Below are 20,042 nucleotides of genomic sequence, written 5' to 3' on the forward strand. Positions count from 1 at the left end.
GAGCCTGAACAACCTCCAACTGCAGCCTGGGAATCAAGGGCCAGGTCCCTCCTCCAGCGCTGTGTTGATCATGCTGGTGCCTGAACAACCTCCAACTGCAGCCTGGGAATCAAGGGCCAGGTCCCTCCTCCAGGGCTGCGTTGATCATCACGGAAAGTTGTGCAGCCAGGGGAGGAGGCTATGTGGCCCCACGCCCCACCGCACGCTCCCACCGCCAGCTTCTCTCTGGAGCTCTGCAAGGATGGGCTATGATCACCCGTGATACTGATCTGCCGTGTTTCGTGTTTAAATTGCTGAGCTGCAGCGTGGCTTCGTGGGGGCTGGCAGGAAGCTGGGACACCGCAGATGTGGAACAAAGCAAGAGGCCGCTCGAGGGTCGTCGGGAAAACAGTTAGAACCAATGAATGCTTGTCACCTTCACACTGCCTCCCACCACGGCAGGGTCCATGGCCACAGCCAGCGTTTGCGAGACCCCAGGCCTGCGGACGGTGGGGCTCCCGGGGTCTGAAGGGTTGGGGGCCAAGCACTAGCAAGAGTCAGGAGATTTCTGGAGACTGAGGTTGAGGTCATCGAGGACACCTCTGTTTGCCCCTCTTTCAAGTAAATGACCCCATCCCCCCAGCGGAGGGCAGGAACCCAGTCCTCGGGTTGGGGCTCAGGATCACTTCCAAAGGTATCCCTGTTTCCTGCACAGCCACAGGCCCTAGAGTAGAGCTGGGAGGGCTCCAGGGTGGGTGATGGGGCACGTGACACCAGTACCGCTATGCGTCCGGCCCACCCGAGCCTCCGTGCTGTGCAAGGAGCGGGCTGCACCCCAGAGCTCCCCGGTGGCTTCGGGGCGGCGGGCAGGCGGGCGGGCGGTCTGACGAGGCCTCATGTGTCCCACTCTCTCCCTGCGCGGGAGCCACGTGTGCAGCAGCCACTGCGTCTCTCGACAGCCCCTGAGGGCTCGGGGCCGCCGCCCCGTGAGGGAGGCGAGGATGTCCTGCCTGGTGGCCTCCGGGGCCCCTCGGCCCTGCCCATGCCTCTGGGAACATCTGTCTGCCGATGTTCATGTCAATGGCTTCCTGCTGGTGCCCTTGGTGACTGAGAACACCACTGGGTCTCCAACGCTGACTGAAGGCAGCCATGAGGCTGGAGGTGATGAAGCTGCAGGCAAGAGGGCCTCATGCAGCTCCGTATCCTAGAAACCAACACCCACTGCCGCCCGTCACCCCCAAGCCACCTGCTCACCCCACACCACCATGGTCCACAGTACTCACACCATCACTGGCCCCAGTGGCAGCACCGCCAGACACAACACCACCGCCCGCCCCAGACCAGCCCCACAGCACCCCCGGCCCTACCACCATCCCTGCCGCCAACACGGCCCCGCTGCCGGCCGGCTTGTCTTTGCCACCGACAGGCTGAGCATGAGCCCCCACGTGGGGCCTGGCCCAGTGTTGGGGAACCCAGAGTGAAGTTGACAGCCAGGGGCCCTGCTCAGGCAGTTTCTGGTCCAGGGACGGTGAGAGGCAGCGACAGATCAGCACACACGTGTGGCCTCGCCGGGGCCGGCTGTGGATCGCATGAGGCCTGGTGCAAAACCAACGGGCAGGGCCCTCGTTCTAAAAGCAGAAAACGGCGTGATCACAGGAACTGCGTTCCTTCCTTCCTTTTTTTTTTCTCTTTTTGTGACAGGGTCTCCCTCTGTCACCCAGGCTGCAGTGCAGCAGCACAATCTCAGCCAGAAGGGGGAGAAACCACAGTGAGCTCGAGCTCCACAGGCTGCAACAGGCGCAAGGCTGGGTCCATCTCCGCTATCCACAGACCTAGGAGGAGACGCCGCGGTTCCTGAGTCTGAACTGGAGGTAACAATATTCCTGCTCTGAGGAGCTCCCGGAGCTGCTCCGGAAATGGAGAAGGTGGCTGGAACTCTGTCGTCTGAAAGCGAGAGCTCACAGTATAATATACGAGCAAAAAATATAAAACTATGGCCTATCACTTCCAGACATGGGAGATCCAACCTCGTTCTCCATCCCCATCCTCCCCCATGGTGGAGGCTCGCAAGGCCCTGAGGCTCGCCAGGATCTCCAGATTTGGGGAAGGTGAAAGCCGTCTTTACCCTCCTCTACCTCGAACTGGACCGCCTGACATCTCAAGCCAGGAACCACCGCGCAGGGGCGGTCATGGCGAGGGACTCACAGCCTGGGGGACGCACACCGCATTTTTTAATGGCTCTAGTTTTATCAAAAGTAAACATCCATGTGGCTTAAAAAGCCAGTTTTACGGCCAGGCGTGTGGCTCACGCCTGTAATCCCAGCACTTTGGGAGGCCGAGGCAGGGGGATCACTTGAGGTCAGGAGTTCGAGACCAGTCTGGCCAACACAGTGATGTAGCAGGACAAGCCGCAGACAAAACTCCTCAGACACTGAGTTAAAGAAGGAAGGGGTTTATTCGGCTGGGGGCGTCAGCAAGACTCCTGTCTCAAGAGCTGAGCTCCCCGAGTGAGCAATTCCTGTCCCTTTTAAGGGCTCACAACTCTAAGGGGGTGTGCATGAGAGGGTCGTGATCGATTGAGCAAGCAGTGGGTACGTGACTGGGGGCTGCATGCTCCGGTAGTTAGAACAGAACAGAACAGGACAGGGATTGTCACAGTGCTTTTCCATACAATGTCTGTAATCTATAGATAACATAACCGATTAGGTCAGGGGTCAATCTTTAACTACGAGGCCCAGGACACGGCGCCGGGCTGTCTGCTTGTGGATTTCATTTCTGCCTTTTAGTTTTTTTTTTTTCTTTCTTTGGAGGCAGAAATCGGGCATAAGACAATATGAGGAGTGGTCTCCTCCCTTAGTGAAACCCCGTCTCTACTAAAAATACAAAAATTAGCCGGGTGTGGTGGCAGGTGCCTGTAATCCCAGCTACTCGGGAGGCTGAGGCAGGAGAATCACTTGAACCCAGGAGGCAGAGGTTACAATGAGCTGAGATTACACCACTGCACTCCAGCCTGGGCAACAGAGCGAGACTCTGTCTCAAAAACAAAAATGCCAGTTTTACAAGGCTGCTACAAACAAGAGCGGCCCCACCTTCTCATCCATCGTTCTCCCTGGAGACAGCCCCGTTTAGACTTCTCTCCCCTGATTCCCGAAACGCAGCCCCGGGTCTCTGCATGACAAGCAGGGCTTGCTGCTCCCCGGCTGTGTAGCACTAACGTTGTCTTCCGACTTCGAACTGTGAAGCAAGGATTCCTCTCTGGTCTCCCCCACCATAACCCACCCCACGTGGAATCTGAGGCCATGTTAAACATGCAGATTCCCTGGCTCTGCCGGTCTTGGGCAGGCGGTCCTAACACACACAAGGCTCTGTGGTAAGGGCCAGGGCCCCAGAGTAGGGGGTCCCTCAGGGGCTCTGAGCTGCGGCTCCAACAGAACCTCTGTCCGCTCCGCTCCCTGCAAGGGGCCTCCGGCCCTTGTTCTGCTCATCCGGACCACAGACCTCTTCTCGTTCCTGGGGAAGGACAGTTGGCCTCCGGCCTGGAGCTCTGTCTTTAGTTTTTTAGCCTCAAATCTGCCAGCTTCAGGTTTGGGGACTCTGCTGAGGCAGACTCGGGGGTGGCTTGACCCTGCCAGCGAGTGGGTTGAGGGCGTGTCAGGAGCCGGGTGTGGGTTGAGAGCACGTTCGGCGCCAGGCACAGGGGCTTCGGTCGGCTTATGTGCTCTTCCCGGGAGCTCCTCAGAGCAGGAATGTTGTTATGTCCATTTCAGATTCAGGAACCGCGACATCTCCTCCTAGGTCCATGGAGAACAGAGATGGACCCAGCCTTGCACCTGTTCCAGCCTCCAGAGCTCGAGCTTGCCGTGGCTCCTCTGCCTGTCTTCAGATGGGAAGAGCTGGGCACTGGCCTCTACCAATCCCTCCCCACTCAGCCATCCGTCTGAGTCCAGTGCCATGGGCCCTGGCATTCAGCCATGTGTCCAGGTTCAGTGCCACGGGTCCTGGCGTCAGCAGCTCCGGCTCTGCCAGAGGCCAGTGGAGGCACCCTGGTTCCCACGCCCTCCCTGCTCCTGCCATGCGTCCGGTCACAGCAGGTTTGCGGTCACCCTCTGGGTCCCTACCCCGGCCACCCACTCGTCTGGTCAGAGCAGGTTTGCGGTCACCCTCTGGGTCCCAACCCCGGCCACCCACTCCTCAGGCTTCGCTCTCCTAGGGGAGGCTCCCAGATCACTGGGTCTTCCTCACCTGCCTCGGTGGAATCCCGGCTGTTCGCAGCCGCACTGGATGAAGCTCTCGTCTCCTCTCTGGTTCCTCACAGGTGTCGGTGGACTTCGGGGAAGGCAGGTGCAGCCTCCTGCGTTGGCTCCATCGCCTCTGGCCAAGGCCATGGCACACACTCTGCCCGCGTTCCTCTGCACTCCCAGGAAGGCGATGCCCCCGGCCCCAGCCTCGGAGAAGTGGACACGAAGCCCCACTTGCTTTGTGGCCGGTTCCATTTTAATTTGGTCTCAACGGAGTAGAAAATGGGAGAGAGCCGGCGCGTGCTCCAGACAGAAATCAGCCAACGAGCCCATGAGACCCCAAGTCACTGAATCCCCCCACACTCTGGCGTCTCTGAACAACCCGCAAGGACGTCGGTGCCACGGCTGCTCTGGGGTCTACAGTGCACGTCCCCGTGGACCCCCGGCTCCTGCAGGTGAAACCCACCACTCCACGGTGATACAAGAACCTTCCCACGTCCCCATGTCTCTCTGCATGGCCTGGGCACCATGGCTGCCACACTCTATGCGTGTTTTAAAACCCACAGTGCAGGCCGGGCGCAGTGGCTCATGCCTGTAATCCCAGCACTTTGGGAGGCCGAGGCGGGCGGATCACAAGGTCAGGAGATCGAGACCATCTTGGCTAACATGGTGAAACCCCATCTCTACTAGAAATACAAAAAATTAGCTGGTGTGGTGGCGGGCGCCTGTAGTCCCAGCTACTCGGGAGGCTGAGGCAGGAGAATGGCGTGAACCCGGGAGGTGAAGCTTGCAGTGAGCCGAGATCGCGCCACTGCACTCCAGCCTGGGGGACAGAGCAAGACTCCGCCCCGAAAAAAAAAAAACCCACAGTGCACTGTGAATATTTTGTTTAAACAGTCAATTACCTTCGACGGATACTTCATCCATTTGTCAAATCTCAGGTATCTAATTCACCACGCCGTGGCTGTTCCGGGGGCTCCGCGTCTGTCGTCCCACATCTGCGCTGCTCCTGCCGGGAGGACACGCCCGTGCCCCACAGCGGGTCCGCTCACCACTGCTCTTTCAGGCATTACCTCCGGAGACACTCGTTCCACCTTTGTCTCTGAGAGATGTTCTTGCTGACAGGTTTCTTCTTACGACGCTGCCCTTGCGTGGGTTCACTCGCGTTGCTCCTCAGGAGAAATGAGAGCGTGTGTTTTCCTCCGGTGACCTGGAAAGGGACCTTCTGTGGCTGGCCGGGCACTCTGGCTTCCATGGGCCTCTGTCCCATTTCTTCGCCTTTCATGTCCTTGAGGCTTGTTGAGCTTCTATCATCTGTGAGTTCACAGTTGGCGTCAGATTTGGAAATTTTGGAGTCATGATTTTTTCATATCTTTTCAGTGTCTCCATGGTCGGCTCTTCTTCAGGGACCCCCATACGTATTACGGTTGTGCGTGGGGTACTCTTACACTCACGGGGGTGCCGGGCCCCTGGAACCTGCAACTCACGCAGGATGCTCTTTTAACTTACTCTATTATGTTTCCTGTTTTATACGGTGCTGTATCGTTGGCTCTGTCTTTAAGATCATTCACCTTTTCCTCCATGTGTGGTCTGTGAACCCCATCCATTGTAGCCTTGATTTCTAGAAGTTTGGTTTGCATATTTTTAAATGGTCTATGTTTCTACTTAGCTCTTTCAACACAGGGAATGCAGTCAGGATGACTGTCAGTGTCTGTCTGGCGATTCTAACACTTGTGTTAGTTCTGACCAGGATTTCGCAGTGGATTTTTCCTCCCCTTACGGGTGGGTTTTCCTGCTTCCCCGAATGTAATCTTTGAATCGATGGCAGACATTGTTAACATCGCCTTTGTTGGGTGTGGATGTTTGTGTTTATGTGGAAACATTCCTGCACCTTTTTCTGGCGTGCGGTTCAGTTACATGGAAAAGGTTTGGCCTCTCAGGTCTTATTTTAAAGTGGCCGTCAGGGCCGAATGTTCTGCCCATTTTGTCCACACTAATTATCCCTCTTTGGGGAGCAAGACCCTTGTGAGATGCCACCGCCACCCTCGGGAGGCCTCCAGGCTGGGGGACGGGCACTGTGGGCTGCTGGTGTAGGGCCGGACGCTCTCTGACAGTGTTGCCCCTGGCCTCCGGCGGCTTCCTCCCAAGCTGGGTTGGGGCTCTTCTGAACGCTCCCCTCCATGCCCTGTCCTGGGAACTTTAACCCTCTGGGCCTCCCGGAGCCCTCTGTCTCCCCTGTCCCAGGGGGTCTGCTGGGCTCCACCGGGCCCCGCCCTGAATGCAGCCTGGAGCAACGCTGGAGGCCGGGGCTAGGAAACTGTGAGCCCCGCCTTGTCTGTGTCTTTCTCAGGGATTCTCGTCCTTTCCAACCTGGTGCCCGATGTCCGGAAGCACCTCTTCTGTGTTTTCAAATGGGAGAGCGAATCCAGTCCTTTTCACTCCATTTTGGCCAGAAACAGAAGTCCTCCGTGATTTATATTTTTACTAGAATCTTTTAAAGGGGCACAAATGGGGGTGTTTTGCAGGCATACAGAAGCCCCCGTCACTCCTCCCGCCTTGTCTCTGAACCGCTGTGGGGTGGGGAGGGGTCTCTTCTCTCTCCAACCCACATCACTTTCACCCCCCGCCGGCCAAGGCTGCGTTTCCCTCGCCCCCACCCCAGTCCCCCGCGTTGGTAGTGGGATCGGTTTGGTATTCTGAGGCTTCTCTCATTTCTCCTTTATCACCATCTGCCCCACAGCAGGCAGGCCCGGAGCCTCTGCAGAAGGGGGAACCGGGTGCAGGCCCAACGCCGGTCTCTCAGTGTGGCAGCCTTGCGCGCGAGCAGAAGCAGAAGGCCTAGTTCCTACTCTGCAGCCTTGGCTGCCGGGCACGGAGAACGTTTTAGCAGAAACACCTCTGCAAAACCACTTCCTGGCCCGGGCCCAGCCAAACACCATCTTCTCCTCCACCCCAGGGCTCCGCCCCCATCTCCAGGCTCAGCCCAGCACCCCCACCCCCGAAACCCCCAGCCCCACTGCATCTGCCCTGGCCATCTGCCTCCGCCCTGCCTCGCTAACACAGTTATTAATGAGCAATTTTCCTGTAATTACAACGCAGTTATGCCAGTTACCCCGACCTGCTGACAGAGAGCATTCACTTCCATGTGGCACTAGCCCCCAGGCCTGAGAGGACGCAAACACTTGCCCCTCATTCGCTGCCCCCACCCCCACTCTGCCAGCCAGCACCACCCTCCACCCACTCTAGGCCCTTAAGAAAGGAGGGAAGGGCCGCGGGGAGGAGCTCTCAGATCCCGAGGCCCCACTCCCCCTGCAAGGAAGGCTGTGAGCTCGGCCCCAGCCCACCTGCCAGCTCCCCAAACACCTCCCACCTCCCTCCGCCGCCTCCTGAAGGGACTACACTCCCCTGGCTCCTCCAAAATCCGCTAATGAACAGCAGGCGCAGAGGCTCCGCCACCGGCGTGCTCCTGGCCTCAGCCCTCCCTGTTCTGAAACCGCCTTTGCTAAGACGGTAGTAGTGAGGAATCACGACAGTGGCAGAGGCCAACCTGACCCGCTCCACCTGCCTCCACCCCAACCCGCCCGGCTGCTTCCTGAGCGTGGGCCAAACTAACTTTGACAGGAACTTAGTTTACAGTTTAAGTTGGGAACAAAAAGGATAACAGCCCCTCCCCAAAACAGATTCCCTCCTCGCTTGGGGGGACCAGTCCCGTTGTAAAACCGACAAATAACAGCAGGATTAGGAATTCCGGCTCAGGATTCACGCAGCCAGACGCCACAGGACTCCTCCCCAGCCGCTCCTGTATATGACGTCACCGCCGTAAGACCACAGGACACCGCCCCAGCCGCGCCTGTAGATGACGTCACCATCGTAAGACCACAGGACCCTTCCCAGCCGCTCCTGTATATGACGTCACCGCCGTAAGACCACAAGTCACCGCCCCAGCCGCTCCTGTAGATGACGTCACCACAGTAAGACCACAGGATACCGCCCCAGCCGCGCCTGTAGATGACGTCACCATCGTAGGCCCACAGGACCCTTCCCAGCCGCTCCTGTGGATGACGTCACCGCCGTAGGACCTAAGATTGATGCTGGAGAGGTTCTTCAGACCCTGCGTTCTGACGGCTCCGCTGGCACCACCCAGACGGGTAAACTAGCTCTTCCGGTCTGTGGCCCTCACAGGAACCGACTCGGTGCAGGAGGACAGCTTCAGCCCCTGTGATTTCATCCCCGACCAACCAGCCAGCACTCCCCACTCCCTAGCCCCCTGCCTGCCAAACTATCTTTTAAAAAACTCCAGTTTCCAAATTTTCAGGGAGGCTGATTTGAGTAATAATAAAACTCCAGTCTCCTGCTAGCTGGCTCTGGATGCACTAGACTCTATTGCAATTCTCCTGTCCTGATAAATCGGCTGTCAGGCAAGAAGAACCCGTTGGGTGGTTACAGTTTCAAGGCTATATTCAGAGAACTATCCACTAATAAAATCTCTGTTTATGCAGTAGGTCCCACCCCACACCCTCCCTGCTCAAACTGCTGCAATCCCGGCACAGCTTTGTTGACAATGTACCCATCAGCCAACAAAATGTAACAAAATGCACTTTCTTTTAGTTATCTCCTGCTACGTAATAAACTTCCCCGGGAGGTGGAGGTTGCCATGAGCCGAGATTGCACCATTGCACTCCAGCCTGGGCAACAAGAGCAAGACTCCGTCTCAAAAATAAATAAATAAATAAATAAATAAGCCTCCCCGGAGCTTGATGGCCTAAATAGCAATCTACCGTGAGTGCTCAGGGCTCTGGAGTTGACTGGGCTGCGCTGGGTGCTTCCTGCCTAGGGTCTCCAGTGTGGTTGCAGCAAATGCAGGCTGGAGCTGTCCAGCATCTCTTTCTGAGTAGCCTCTCCACGCTCAGCTTGGACCCCCTCACAGCATGGCTGCCAGGGTCATCAAGCTTCTTGGCAGGCAGCTGGCCTCCCCTAGGACAAATCCCACAAAGCTGAGGCAGGAGTTCCAGGGCTACTAAGACGCCGTCTCAGAGTCACAGTCTGCCACCTCCAGCTCATGCCACTGGCTACACAGGCCCAGAGTCCGTGCGTCTGGGGAGGCACCATCCTGAGAAGCCATCTTACGAGTGAGAAGTGGGTGCCAGGAAATGGGGTGCCACCATGATTAGCACCCCAAATATGTGCTGTCACCTTTGGAGTCACGCAGAACCTGGGGGCCTCCAGGAGTCTACGGGGGATGGTGGGAAGGCTGGGGAGGAGGATGGGAAGGAGACCCCCGCTGAGGGCAGGCGGAGCGCTGGGGTGGCACCACCTCTGGCTGCGGGGAAGGTCGTGGCCCTGCGAGGACCTGTCTAGACAGAGGCTGAAGTTGGGGGCGGGGAGGTGGGGGGCAGGCACGTGAGGAGCCGTTGAGTTTGCAGAATCTGGAGGAATCAAGAGGGCCCAGGACAGTCTTTTAAGCCAGTACCAGGTTCTCAAAGTGAGAAATGGCCTCTGGCCTAAGGGTGAAGACCTCAAAGGCGTGGCTGAAGCAGCTTTATTGAGATTTGCAAGATTCACAAGCTATCTTTTAGACTCGATACAGTCAGGCCTCTGGGAACCTCGAGGGCGCCCTTCCGCAGCCTCCTGGGTCTCAGCCCAAGGAGACAAGAGCTTGCCCCAGCGAGCAGGTGTGGGTTAACTCAGTCACGCCCGCAGGAGACACACAGGGTTTCTGCAGAGAGCTCTGTTGTGGAAGTGCCGTCAGAGAGAGGCGGCTCGGTGTGGAAACAGGCCTCTTTATGCTCAGGAGGCAGGCTGAGAAGCTGCCCGGCCACAAGCACAGGCCACCTCTTGCAGAAGAGGGACCTTAACTCTGACCTCAGCCAAGAGCCCAGGAGACACAGCCTGGGGTCACAAAGAGTCAGCTCCTAGGAGCAGGCGGTGCTCACCTAGAAGCTGCTGGTGTGGACCTGGCTGGAGCTCAGGTTTCTGCCAACCGTGTCTGCTCCTCCTGTCCCTGCTGTTTGAACGGGGGTGTCGGCGTGTTCGTCCCGCCCCTGCCTTGTCATCGCATATTGGGTCTAGGGCCCCAGAGAAGTGCACGCCTGTGATCCCAGGCTTCTTAGTTCAGTTCCTCAGATGGAGATGTGGGTGAGAGACGCTGAGGGCCTCCTCCCCAGCCCTCGTTCTGATATGATCAAGGACTCCAAGCCTGGGCCTGAGGATGCAGCGGAATGAGAGGCCGAGGTCTCTGGAGATTGAGTGTGTTTTCACGTGGAGCTAAGGGTCACTGAGTGAGAGGGTGGCCGCCCCTTGTGCTGGCTTCTCCCTTGATGAATCTGGACTGGCCCCGAGCTACAGACTGAATCATCCCAAACTGGGAGACTTACACAAGCCTCCCTCCGGCTTCCAAAAGTTCCTTGGCTTGAGGATAACTTGGCAATCTCCCCTTGTGGAAGGACCCCAGTCCAGGATGGCCTCATCTTTGCTCATCACATCTGCGACACGGCCCTATTTCTAAATAAGCTCACCCTCTGATGACCCTATTTCATTCTTTTGAGACGGAGTCCCGCTCTGTCACCCAGGCTGGAGTGCAGTGGTGCGATCTCGGCTCACTGCAGGCTCCGCTTCCCGGGTTCAAGCCATTCTCCTGCCTCAGCCTCCTGAGTAGCTGGGACTACAGGCGCGTGCCACCACGCCCGGCTAATTTTTTCTAATTTTTAGTAGACACGGGGTTTCACTGTGTTAGCCAGGATGGTCTCGATCTCCTGACCTTGTGATATGCCCGCCTCGGCCTCCCAAAGTGCTGGGATTACAGGTGTGAGCCACTGCACCCGCCCTTTTTTTTTTTTTTTTGAGACGGAGTCTTGCTCTGTTGCCCATGCTGGAGTGCAGTGGCACAATCTCGGCTCACTGCAACCTCTGCCTCCCAGGCTCAAGCGATTCTCCTGTCTCAGCCTCCTGAGTAGCTTGAATTACAGGCACATGCCACCACACCCAGCTAATTTTCGTATTTTTAGTAGAGATGGGGTTTCACCATGTTGGCCAGGCTGGTTTCGAACTCCTGACCTCAGGTGATCCGCCTGCCTCGGTCTCCCAAAGTGCTGGGATTACAGGCGTGAGCCACCGCACCTGGCTGAAAAATTTATTTTTTTAAAAAGAGAGAAGTGCTTAGGAAATTCAATAAACTTACCTTTTTTTTTTCTTTCAAAAATTGCCCCGCTTGGAGCATGCTTTGAAAGTCACAAATAAAGGCTGTTATGTCGTGGCATTCAACCATTTTTGTCTGAAAAGCAACTTCCAAAAATCAGCTGTAGATTCATTGTGTTTCTTTCTAAAAATGAAGTGTTGTAATTAACACTACCCAGTTTCATAAATAAACAAAACATATTTTCTTGCATTCTAGTTTCGGGTTTCAGGATGAAACCTCCATCGATATCTCTAGTTCCTTCAAGTCTGCTGAAATGTCACCTTCCCTGCGGCAAGCATATTTTAGGTAAGGCGTAAATGCAGCCTGCCCCTCCCGGCACCCCACTTCCCCTTGACTTATTTGAGTGATGTGTTTACCTGTGATGACCGCGGCTCATATCTCCCCACCAACCTCCGGGGGCCCCAGGAGGGCAGAGAGCATGTGCTGTGTTCACTGTTGCTTTGAAAGTGCTTAGAACTGTGTCTGGTACATAGTAAATGTTCAATTAAATTTTTTTTTTTACAGTTTCACTTTTCACACTTAAGCGTTTAATCCACTTGCAGTATAGTCATCCCTCGATATCCTCGGGATTGGTTTCAGGACCGCCCTTGGATCCTGAAATCAGCAGGTTCCCAAGGCCCTGGTATAAAGTGGCCTGGTATTTGCATAGAGCCTACCCACCTTCTCCCAATACTTTCAGTCATCTCTGGATGATTTGTAATACCTAATGCCATGTAAATGCATCCCCTGGCGTTCCCGGATACCTGCCTGCATCACACAGTCCCTGCCTGTCCATCTCGCAGCTTTACAGCCCAGGAAGGCCCAGGCCCGGCTCCTCCCGACCTCTCCCGAAGTCCCTTTCCCCCAGCCTTGGTCCCAGAAACAACCAGCTCGAGGTGGGGGCAGTGAACGCTCAGGGTGGAGTTGCAGGCTAAGCCCTCCTAAGCTGCCAGGGAGAAGCGCTTTTCTGCCAGCAGCTCTGCGGAGGAAAATTGATTTCCTTGGTAATGAAGTGTTAACCCGCTGGGGGTGCTCGGAGCCGCGCCAGGCAGGCGGGAGGCCCCAGTTTGCACAGGCAGTCTTCCCAGACATGTCTCAGAGTCCTCGTCCCAAGCTGCCTGGGGCCCCGGGTGGGCCTGGAGTGACCAAGGGCACACAGACCTGCTTGCGGGGTGAGCTGAGCCGGCAGGGCCCAGCTCCCCAGGCCGGGAGGCTCCATCACCTCGTAATCATCTGGTGGTCTGGTGCCTGCCGGTCCAGGAGAGTCGCACACACAGTAAAATCCTCCAAAATCAAACACAGCTGCTTTTGCTCCTCCTGGAAAGGCAATGAGAAGCCCCAGAGGAGGTTAATGAAGTGCCTTGGAGCCCTCGGCCTTAGCCTGCAGCTGCTGATTTTCCAAGCAGGGCCATCTGAATGGGGGAGGCTTCTCCCAGGGTCCCTGGGCTGATGTAGGGGCTCAGCCATCTCAGTCCCTGAGGCTGGACCCCTCCTTGATGAGGGTCATGGTCCGACAGGGAGGGCCAGGCAGCATCAGCGCAGGTGTGGCCACTCCCTCCCTCCCCTCCTCCTCTGCTGGCCCCATGGCAGCCCCCCAGGAGCTACACAGCCTTGAATCCCCTCAGGGAGGCCCCCAAGGCCCGTTTGGGGAGCTGCCCACGCGGAGCCCAGCACGCCCGCCCGGCTTCTGCAGGGAGGGGCCCATCTCTTCCTGGCTGTGCTGGGTTTTCCAGTGCAGGCCAGAGGGGAAACTCCCATGATCGAGCCCAGCTGAGCCCCCTGCTCCAGCCCTGGGGGGCCGAGGAAGAGCAGGTTCTGAGACCCCGACCAGCTCAGGGCATCCAGGAGGGGCCAGGGCACCCTCTGTGCGGCTGGGGTGTCCTCCCAGTCTCCCCTCCTGCTGTCACTGGCCCGCGAGGCATCTGGAGGGCCCACACCTGCCAGTGACCCCTCTGGGGGGTTGTCCCAGGCTGCGCTGACTTCCTTTCTGTGGCGCGGGTGACACAGACGGCGACTCTCCAGGGCGGGGCAGGGGCTGGCAGGGCCGCCGGGTGTTCCCTGACCCTGGAGGCTTCGGGGAGGGAGGGGAGGACGCCAAGCAGGGGCGGGAGCTTAGAGTCCCCCCCACAGCTCATCAGGCCACGCGAGTCCTGCAGGGTGGTCTGGGATGGCCCCTCACCCTCTGACGTCCTCTTGGGCTGGGCCAGTGAGGAGCAGCCACAGGAAGGCGGAGGGTCGGGGGTGGAGGTTGGAAGGCAGAGGGCGGAGGGCGGGCGGGGGCATCCATTCTCCCGAACAGGGGTCTTGCTGCGCGACTCTTCCATCTCACGCTGCCGGACCTGTCTCTTCCCCGCCGTCCACGCTGGGGACGGTTTTAGTGATTTCCCCGGGTTCTGTGCCCTAAATCCTGCCACACTTCAGCCACATCCCCCTCATTACTCCTAATTTGGATTCCCAGGTGGAGGGGCCAGCCCACCCTGGCTGCAGTGGGAGGGCAGCCCCTGAGTGCACAGCCTGTGGCCCACAGAGGACGGGGTCTGCGCTCTGAGGAGGGTTCCCGGCCCGCATCGGTCAAGGCAGAGATGAGGAGGAGGCCATGAGGCTGGCGTGGTGTGGCCACAGCCCAGCTAGAGGGGAGGGCATTTGCACGGGATCCAGTGGTGTTTCCCCAAATTCGCATCCACTGAAACCTCGGAACGTGGCCTCTGCAGGTGTGATGTGAAGTGAGGATGAGGTCATCTTGGATTGGGGTGGGCCCTAAATCCAATGACTGGTGTCATAAGAGAGGAGAGACAGATACACACAGAGAGGGGATGACCGTGAAGAGGGAGGCAGAAACGCACACAGATACACACATACTCAGGGAAGAGGAACAACAGGCCAGAGGGGCCGTCAAACCCTCTCGGGGGTTTGAACTCCACCTACGGCGTGTTTCAGTCTTAAAATGTCCATGATTCTTTTGTCACGATTTCCAATTCTCTGATGAAATTCTCCCTCTTACATATTGTCTTGAATACACCGATGCTGCTGTTTTAAACTCCCGTCGCTGCTGCGTCTGTTTCTATTGACTTTCCTCTGCTGCTGCTGCTGGCCTTATTACCTGGTCCTGTCACCCCCATGCCTGGATATTTTTGATTGAATGCTTGGCGTTGTGAATACACATTTACAGTGGGCTTGGGTGATGTTGTCTTCCTCTGGAGATGAGTTGCTTTTCTTTAGGATGGTAGTTAGGGTTAGGGGTCGACTGCCATGACCCCATCAGGGCCGGGACCACTGGAGGCCGCCAGTCTCCACGAGGGCGGGAACTGGAGGCCGCCGGTCTGCATGAGGCTGCTCTCCTCTGGTCCCCCTCACTCCCAGGCTGCGGCATTCAAGGGCATCAACAGAAAGCCTGATGCAAGTTCTTCCCTCCCAGCTCTGACTGCCAGGAAACCTGAGGCTGCCTCAGGGAAATGAGGTCTCCTCCTCCTCCTTGGGGCCGTCACCCCTCAAGTCCCAGCTGCCTTGGTTACTCTCTGGCACCTTTGAACTGCCACCTGTTCCTCTGGCCCAGCTTTGAAAGCAACTCCCAGGAGCAGGTGTGCTTGGACCCTGCGGCCCTGCGGACAGACCCCTCACTGACCTCCCCTTCATTAATCCCATCCAAACGAGGCCACGTTCTGAGTTCATCCTGGTGAATTTCGGGGACACTCTTCAACCCAGTGCGCCGTCCCCCACAGAGCAAGCCAACATCCTGATGGGGCAGCCTTTGCCACTTTGCCCCCGCTGGCCCCATCACACTGCCCCCCAGCCACCACACCTCCCGGAGGGGCCTCACACGCTGCAGCCCTCCATCCTCAGGCCTGGCGTTGGCTGCTCCTTGGCTTGTGTGCCCCTCCCTGCACCCCAATATGCCAGGATCTCCCCGCACCTCCTCATTCTACCATCACCTCACGGAGACATCCTGGTCACCCCGTGAGGCATTGCTCACGCCCTCCCCGGCACTCCACAGCCTTGAAGGGCACTGACCGCCAGTGCCTCCACCCACTGTGCCTCCTGCCCAGACTGCAACCCCCCAAGCCAGGGCTCGTCTCCGGTTCACGGCTGTGTCCCACATGTCTGTGGTGCCTCCCAGCTCCAGGGAGGTCTGGGTCCTGTCGGGGGGTGGGGGGCAGCCTCCGTGGCCAAGGGTCTCCCAGGCTGCTGTCAGGCCAGGCTCGCCAGCCGGGCTCCTGATCACCTTCCTGGGCCAGCCTCTCCAGGAACCCAGGAGCCAGAGGGCGGCTGATGTAACTGAATTCCAGAATCCGTCATGAGCCGGGAAGTGAGTGCCTGCGGTTTGTGGGGCTGAGGTGACCGGCCAACGCCTTTGGGGCTTTGTTACTCCTCACACGGGGAGGTTGATTGGAGCCAGGAGCCCTGCAGTGGCTCCAGGCCTGCTGCTCCAATTAACCTCCCTGGCCCTGGGGAGCCGGGCCTTAGGGCTGGGGCTGGAGGGCTGCTGGCATCGGTGCCCGGGCTCAGCCTGCAGGTGGCAGGCCCTGAGGTGGAGGGGAGCATCCCGCAGCCCTGCCGCTCCCTCTGGGTGCTTGGCCTGCACCCTGCCAAGGAAACTAGCTAGTTAACCATCCCAAGTGCATCCCAGGGGCTGGGCAGAGCACAGCAGGCTTGGTCAGCAGTGATGGGGTGGAGAGATGCCTGCTCGGAGCCAGGGACACAAGACAGCTGTGGCCGACTCTGCCCCCCACCCCCAGCCCGGGCCTCCTGGGAAGGCCGTGTCTGAGTTCATGGGCCAGAAGAAGAGAGATGGATGGAGTCAGGCGGAACAGCTCTTGGCGCCAAGGAGACAGCCAGTCTTAGGTCCTGAGGAGGGACAGTTAGGGGTTAGGGTTAGGTGTGATTGGTGGTGGGGGTGAGGGGCGTGGGTGTTGTTAGGATTAGGGTTAGGGGTAGATGTGATGGGTGTTGGCGGGTGAGCGGGGAGAGAGTTAGGTTTAGGGTTAGCGCTAGGATTAGGGTTGGAGTAGATGTGATGGGTGTTGGGGGTGAGGGGGCGGGGATGTTAGGATTAGGGTTGGGGTAGATGTTATGGGTGTGGGGGTTGAGGGAACGGGGGTGTTAGGTTTAGGGTTGGAGTAGATGTGATGGGTGTTGGGGGTGAGGGGGCAGTGGTGTCAGGTTTAGGGTTAGTGCTGGGATTAGGGTTGGGGTAGATGTGATGAGTGTTGGGGTGTGGTCGCAGGAGGATTTGGCTTTTATTCTGGGGGAGGTGCTGCACTGGGCTGCACAGGGTACCAGCACCGGCCTCCTCTGACCAGATGCTATTTAGACCCCTCCCCCAACCCCTGTGTCCTTGGAGCCCCTCCCTCTGCCCAGCGTCCCTCCCTGAGTTTGCTCTTCTCTGTGGTAAGAGTGAGGGCTGCCTTTGGCTTCCAGGCAGGCAGCTTGGAGGGTGGGCAGGGTGAGGAAGTGGGTTCTGCATCTCCCGGGGAGTCTGAGGCCAGAGGCAGCTCTGAGCAGCCCGGCCGTGCAGGGGGCAGCTGGGGGAGGCTGCGGCCACCCCAGGGCTCTCCTCCATGCTAAGCCAGCAACTGGAAGGCCAGGGGTAGCCGGTTGCAGATGGGGTGGGAGCCAGGGTGACCAGCCACCCGTGTTCCCCAAGACGAAGTGGGCCGTGGGGGTCCCAGGTAAACATGGGGGAATCTGTCACCCTCTGAGAGCAGAGTCCAGTGGGGACGATGCAGGTCTGGGCACGACCTCTGGGAGGGGCAGCAGGTCAGGGGGACCCCTGGTTTCCAAGGAGCAGACACTGCCAGGGGAGAGGAAGCTGTTGACCCTGGTCAGAGGCCCAGGCTGAGGAGAGTGGGGTCAGGGCCACCAGGAACAGCCGGGGGCAGTAGCTCCAACCTCACAGCAGCACCTGGACAGACACCGACTGGGGACCACAGAAAGGTCTAGGATCCATGAGTTATGCCTGCCAACAGCAGACCCTGTGTATGTGTGCATGTGAACGTGTGTGAACATGTATGTGGATGTGTGTGCGTGTGGACATATGTGTGTGCATGTGGATGTGTGTGCGTGTGTTGTGTCTGCATGTGTGTGTGAACTTGTGTGTGTGTGCATGTGTGTGCATGTGAACGTGTGTGTGAACATGGATGTGTGCATGTGGGCGTGTGTATGCAAGTGGATGCGTGTGCATGTGGATGTGTGTGTGCATGTGTGTGCGTATGTGTGTGGACGTGTGTGATGCGTGTGGATATGTATGCATGTGCATTGCGTCAGTGCATTTGGACGTGTGTGTGAACTTGTGTGTGTGTGCGTGTGTGTGCATGTGAACGTGTGTGTGTGAACATGGATGTGTGCATGTGGACGTGTGCGTGTGGTGTGTCTGCATGTGTGTGTGGACTTGTGTGTGTGTGCGTCTGTGCATGTGAACGTGTGTGTGCATGTGAACATGGATGTGTGCATGTGGGCATGTGTATGCAAGTGGATGCATGTGCATGTGGATGTGTGTGTGCATGTGTGTGCGTATGTGTGTGTGGACGTGTGTGATGCATGTGGATATGTATGCATGTGCATTGCAGCAGTGCATTTGGACGTGTGTGTGTGGATGTGTGTGCGCGTGTGTGCATGTGAACGTGTGTGTGAACATGGATGTGTGCATGTGGACGTGTGCGTGTGGTGTCTGCATGTGTGTGTGGACGTGTGTGATGCGTGTGGATATGTATGCATGTGCATTGCATCAGTGCATTTGGACGTGTGTGTGTGGACGTGTGTGATGCGTGTGGATATGTATGCATGTGCATTGCCGCAGTGCATTTGGACGTGTGTGTGTGGATGTGTGTGCGCTTGTGTGCCTGTGGGCGCGTGTGTGTGAACACGGGTGTGAGTGGGTGTGCACGAATCTGTGTGTGTGTGTATGAACATGGAGCTCAGTGCGGGGTCTGCTTCCCCTCCAGTCAGAGCTGCCCTGGCATCTGGCTTTGACCTTAGGATGGGGCATGACCTCGGGAGGCCGTCCACTCTCCCTTCGTGCCGTGGAAGCCCTGGGGACTCAGGGCTGCGTGAGAGGAACCGTGCGGCAGCCGGCAACAGCTCCCAATGTGTGAGTGAGGCCAGGTGAGACCTCCGCCCAGCTGAGCAGCTGATGACCGACACAGAGGTGACCCGGGGAGCTCAGCAGAGGGGCCTAGACAGCAACTCCCTGCACCTGAGGCTCACAGACCCTCGGCAAGCACAGGTGTTCACAGTCTCACAGCAGAAGTGAGGTTCAGACGCTGGACCCCAGCGCACTCATCTGCCAGAGAAGAGGTCAGGGCCCCACAGGGCGAGGGGTCCATGGGGGCGAGAGGCCTGGTGTGGCTGAGGGTCCTGTGGAGCAGAGTGAGGAGACAGCTCCTGCCCTCACCCCAGGCTGAGCAGGACCACCTGGCCGGGGGGTGTGGAGCTCCTGGTGCTGGGTGCTGTCCCCAGGACTTGATGAGGCTGAGTCGTGCCCCAGACCAGTCTCATCCCGGCCCCAGCACCCAAGAAGGTGCCTCTGCGTGGAGAAGGGAGCTCGTGCTGGATGGAGGTCAGACGTGGCCGCCGTGCTAATCCCCAGAGCCTGCGCCTGTGTCGGGTTACCGGGCGGGGGAGTTAAGGCTGCAGATGGAAAAACTGCTAATCAGCTGACCTTAAAACACAATTACCCGGATTATCCGTGGGCCCAGTGCAATCACAAGGGTCCTCGAATGGGGAGGAGGAGGCAGGAGACGAGGCCGGGAGACGCTGCAGGGAGTCTCTGCGGCCGCCGAGGCTCTGAAGACGGAGGGAGGGCCTGGCCCGGACGGGCCACTCCTGGGGCTGACGAGGCAGGCGGCGGGTCCTCCCCAGGCCCCAGCAGAACCGGCCTTGCTCGCCCCACACTGGGCTTCCAACCTCCAGAGCTGCGAGATGATAAATCTGTGCGGCGTTGCGGTCACTTGCTCCGGCAGCCACAGGAAGCTCTCACATGGTGAGGCGTCGGGAGAGAGGGCTCCGTTGGCTTCCACGCCCCCCAGTCCTTGGGCTCGAACGGGCGGGGGAGTGGGTGGGTGGGTGGGTGGACGGGCGGGCAGGTGGGTGGATGGGCGGGTGAGTGGCTGGGTGGGCGGGCGGGCAGGTGAGTGGATGGCTGGGTGGGTGGGTGGGTGCGGGAGTGGATGGGTGGGTGGGTGGACGGGCGAGTGAGTGGGTGGGTGGGTGAGTGGACGGGCGGGTGAGTGGCTGGGTGGATGAGTGGATTGGGTGGACAGGTGGGTGGATGGGCGGGTGAGTGGATTGGGTGGACAGGTGGGTGGATGGGCGGGTGAGCGGGTGGGTGGGTGAGTGGACAGGTGGGTGGACGGGCAGGTGAGTGGGTGGGTGGGTGGACGGGCGGGTGAGTGGGTGGGTGGATGAGTGGACGGGTGGGTAGGTAGACAGGTGGGTGGATGGGCAGGTGAGCGGATGGGTGGGTGAGTGGACGGGTGGGTAGGTGGACAGGTGGGTGGACAGGCAGGTGAGCGGGTGGGTGGGTGAGCGGGTGGGTGGGTGAGTGGACGGGTGGGTAGGTGGACGGGTGGGTGGACGGGCAGGTGAGCGGGTGGGTGGGTGAGTTGACGGGTGGGTAGGTGACCAGGTGGGTGGACGGGCGGGTGAGCGGGTGGGTG

General features: G+C 58.6%; 1 long non-coding RNA gene across 1 annotated transcript, besides 6 other annotated features; it reads left to right on the plus strand.

The window, feature by feature from the left end:
- Positions 1–3,798: 3,798 nt before the first annotated feature.
- LOC112268102 (uncharacterized) lies at positions 3,799–8,969 on the plus strand. Its single transcript, XR_002957440.2, has 2 exons — positions 3,799–4,070; positions 4,295–8,969. It is a non-coding gene; the product is annotated as an uncharacterized LOC112268102 (long non-coding RNA).
- Positions 5,969–6,656: an enhancer, noted in NCBI's record as "H3K4me1 hESC enhancer chr12:133020592-133021279 (GRCh37/hg19 assembly coordinates)". NCBI's record gives its function as "activates a minimal SCP1, AML or CMV promoter by ChIP-STARR-seq in primed H9 embryonic stem cells {active_cell/tissue: H9 hESC(primed)}" and the evidence as "EXISTENCE:reporter gene assay evidence [ECO:0000049][PMID:30033119]".
- Positions 7,344–8,031: an enhancer, noted in NCBI's record as "H3K27ac-H3K4me1 hESC enhancer chr12:133021967-133022654 (GRCh37/hg19 assembly coordinates)". NCBI's record gives its function as "activates a minimal SCP1, AML or CMV promoter by ChIP-STARR-seq in naive H9 embryonic stem cells {active_cell/tissue: H9 hESC(naive)}" and the evidence as "EXISTENCE:reporter gene assay evidence [ECO:0000049][PMID:30033119]".
- Positions 8,032–8,718: an enhancer, noted in NCBI's record as "H3K27ac-H3K4me1 hESC enhancer chr12:133022655-133023341 (GRCh37/hg19 assembly coordinates)". NCBI's record gives its function as "activates a minimal SCP1, AML or CMV promoter by ChIP-STARR-seq in naive H9 embryonic stem cells {active_cell/tissue: H9 hESC(naive)}" and the evidence as "EXISTENCE:reporter gene assay evidence [ECO:0000049][PMID:30033119]".
- Positions 11,674–11,723: a silencer, noted in NCBI's record as "silent region_5117". NCBI's record gives its function as "represses an Ori minimal core promoter by ATAC-STARR-seq in GM12878 lymphoblastoid cells {active_cell/tissue: GM12878}" and the evidence as "EXISTENCE:reporter gene assay evidence [ECO:0000049][PMID:35858748]".
- Positions 11,754–11,823: a silencer, noted in NCBI's record as "silent region_5118". NCBI's record gives its function as "represses an Ori minimal core promoter by ATAC-STARR-seq in GM12878 lymphoblastoid cells {active_cell/tissue: GM12878}" and the evidence as "EXISTENCE:reporter gene assay evidence [ECO:0000049][PMID:35858748]".
- Positions 13,058–13,367: an enhancer, noted in NCBI's record as "active region_7376". NCBI's record gives its function as "activates an Ori minimal core promoter by ATAC-STARR-seq in GM12878 lymphoblastoid cells {active_cell/tissue: GM12878}" and the evidence as "EXISTENCE:reporter gene assay evidence [ECO:0000049][PMID:35858748]".

The sequence above is a fragment of the Homo sapiens genome, chromosome 12 (assembly GCF_000001405.40).
Source record: "Homo sapiens chromosome 12, GRCh38.p14 Primary Assembly".
NCBI lineage: Eukaryota > Metazoa > Chordata > Mammalia > Primates > Hominidae > Homo > Homo sapiens.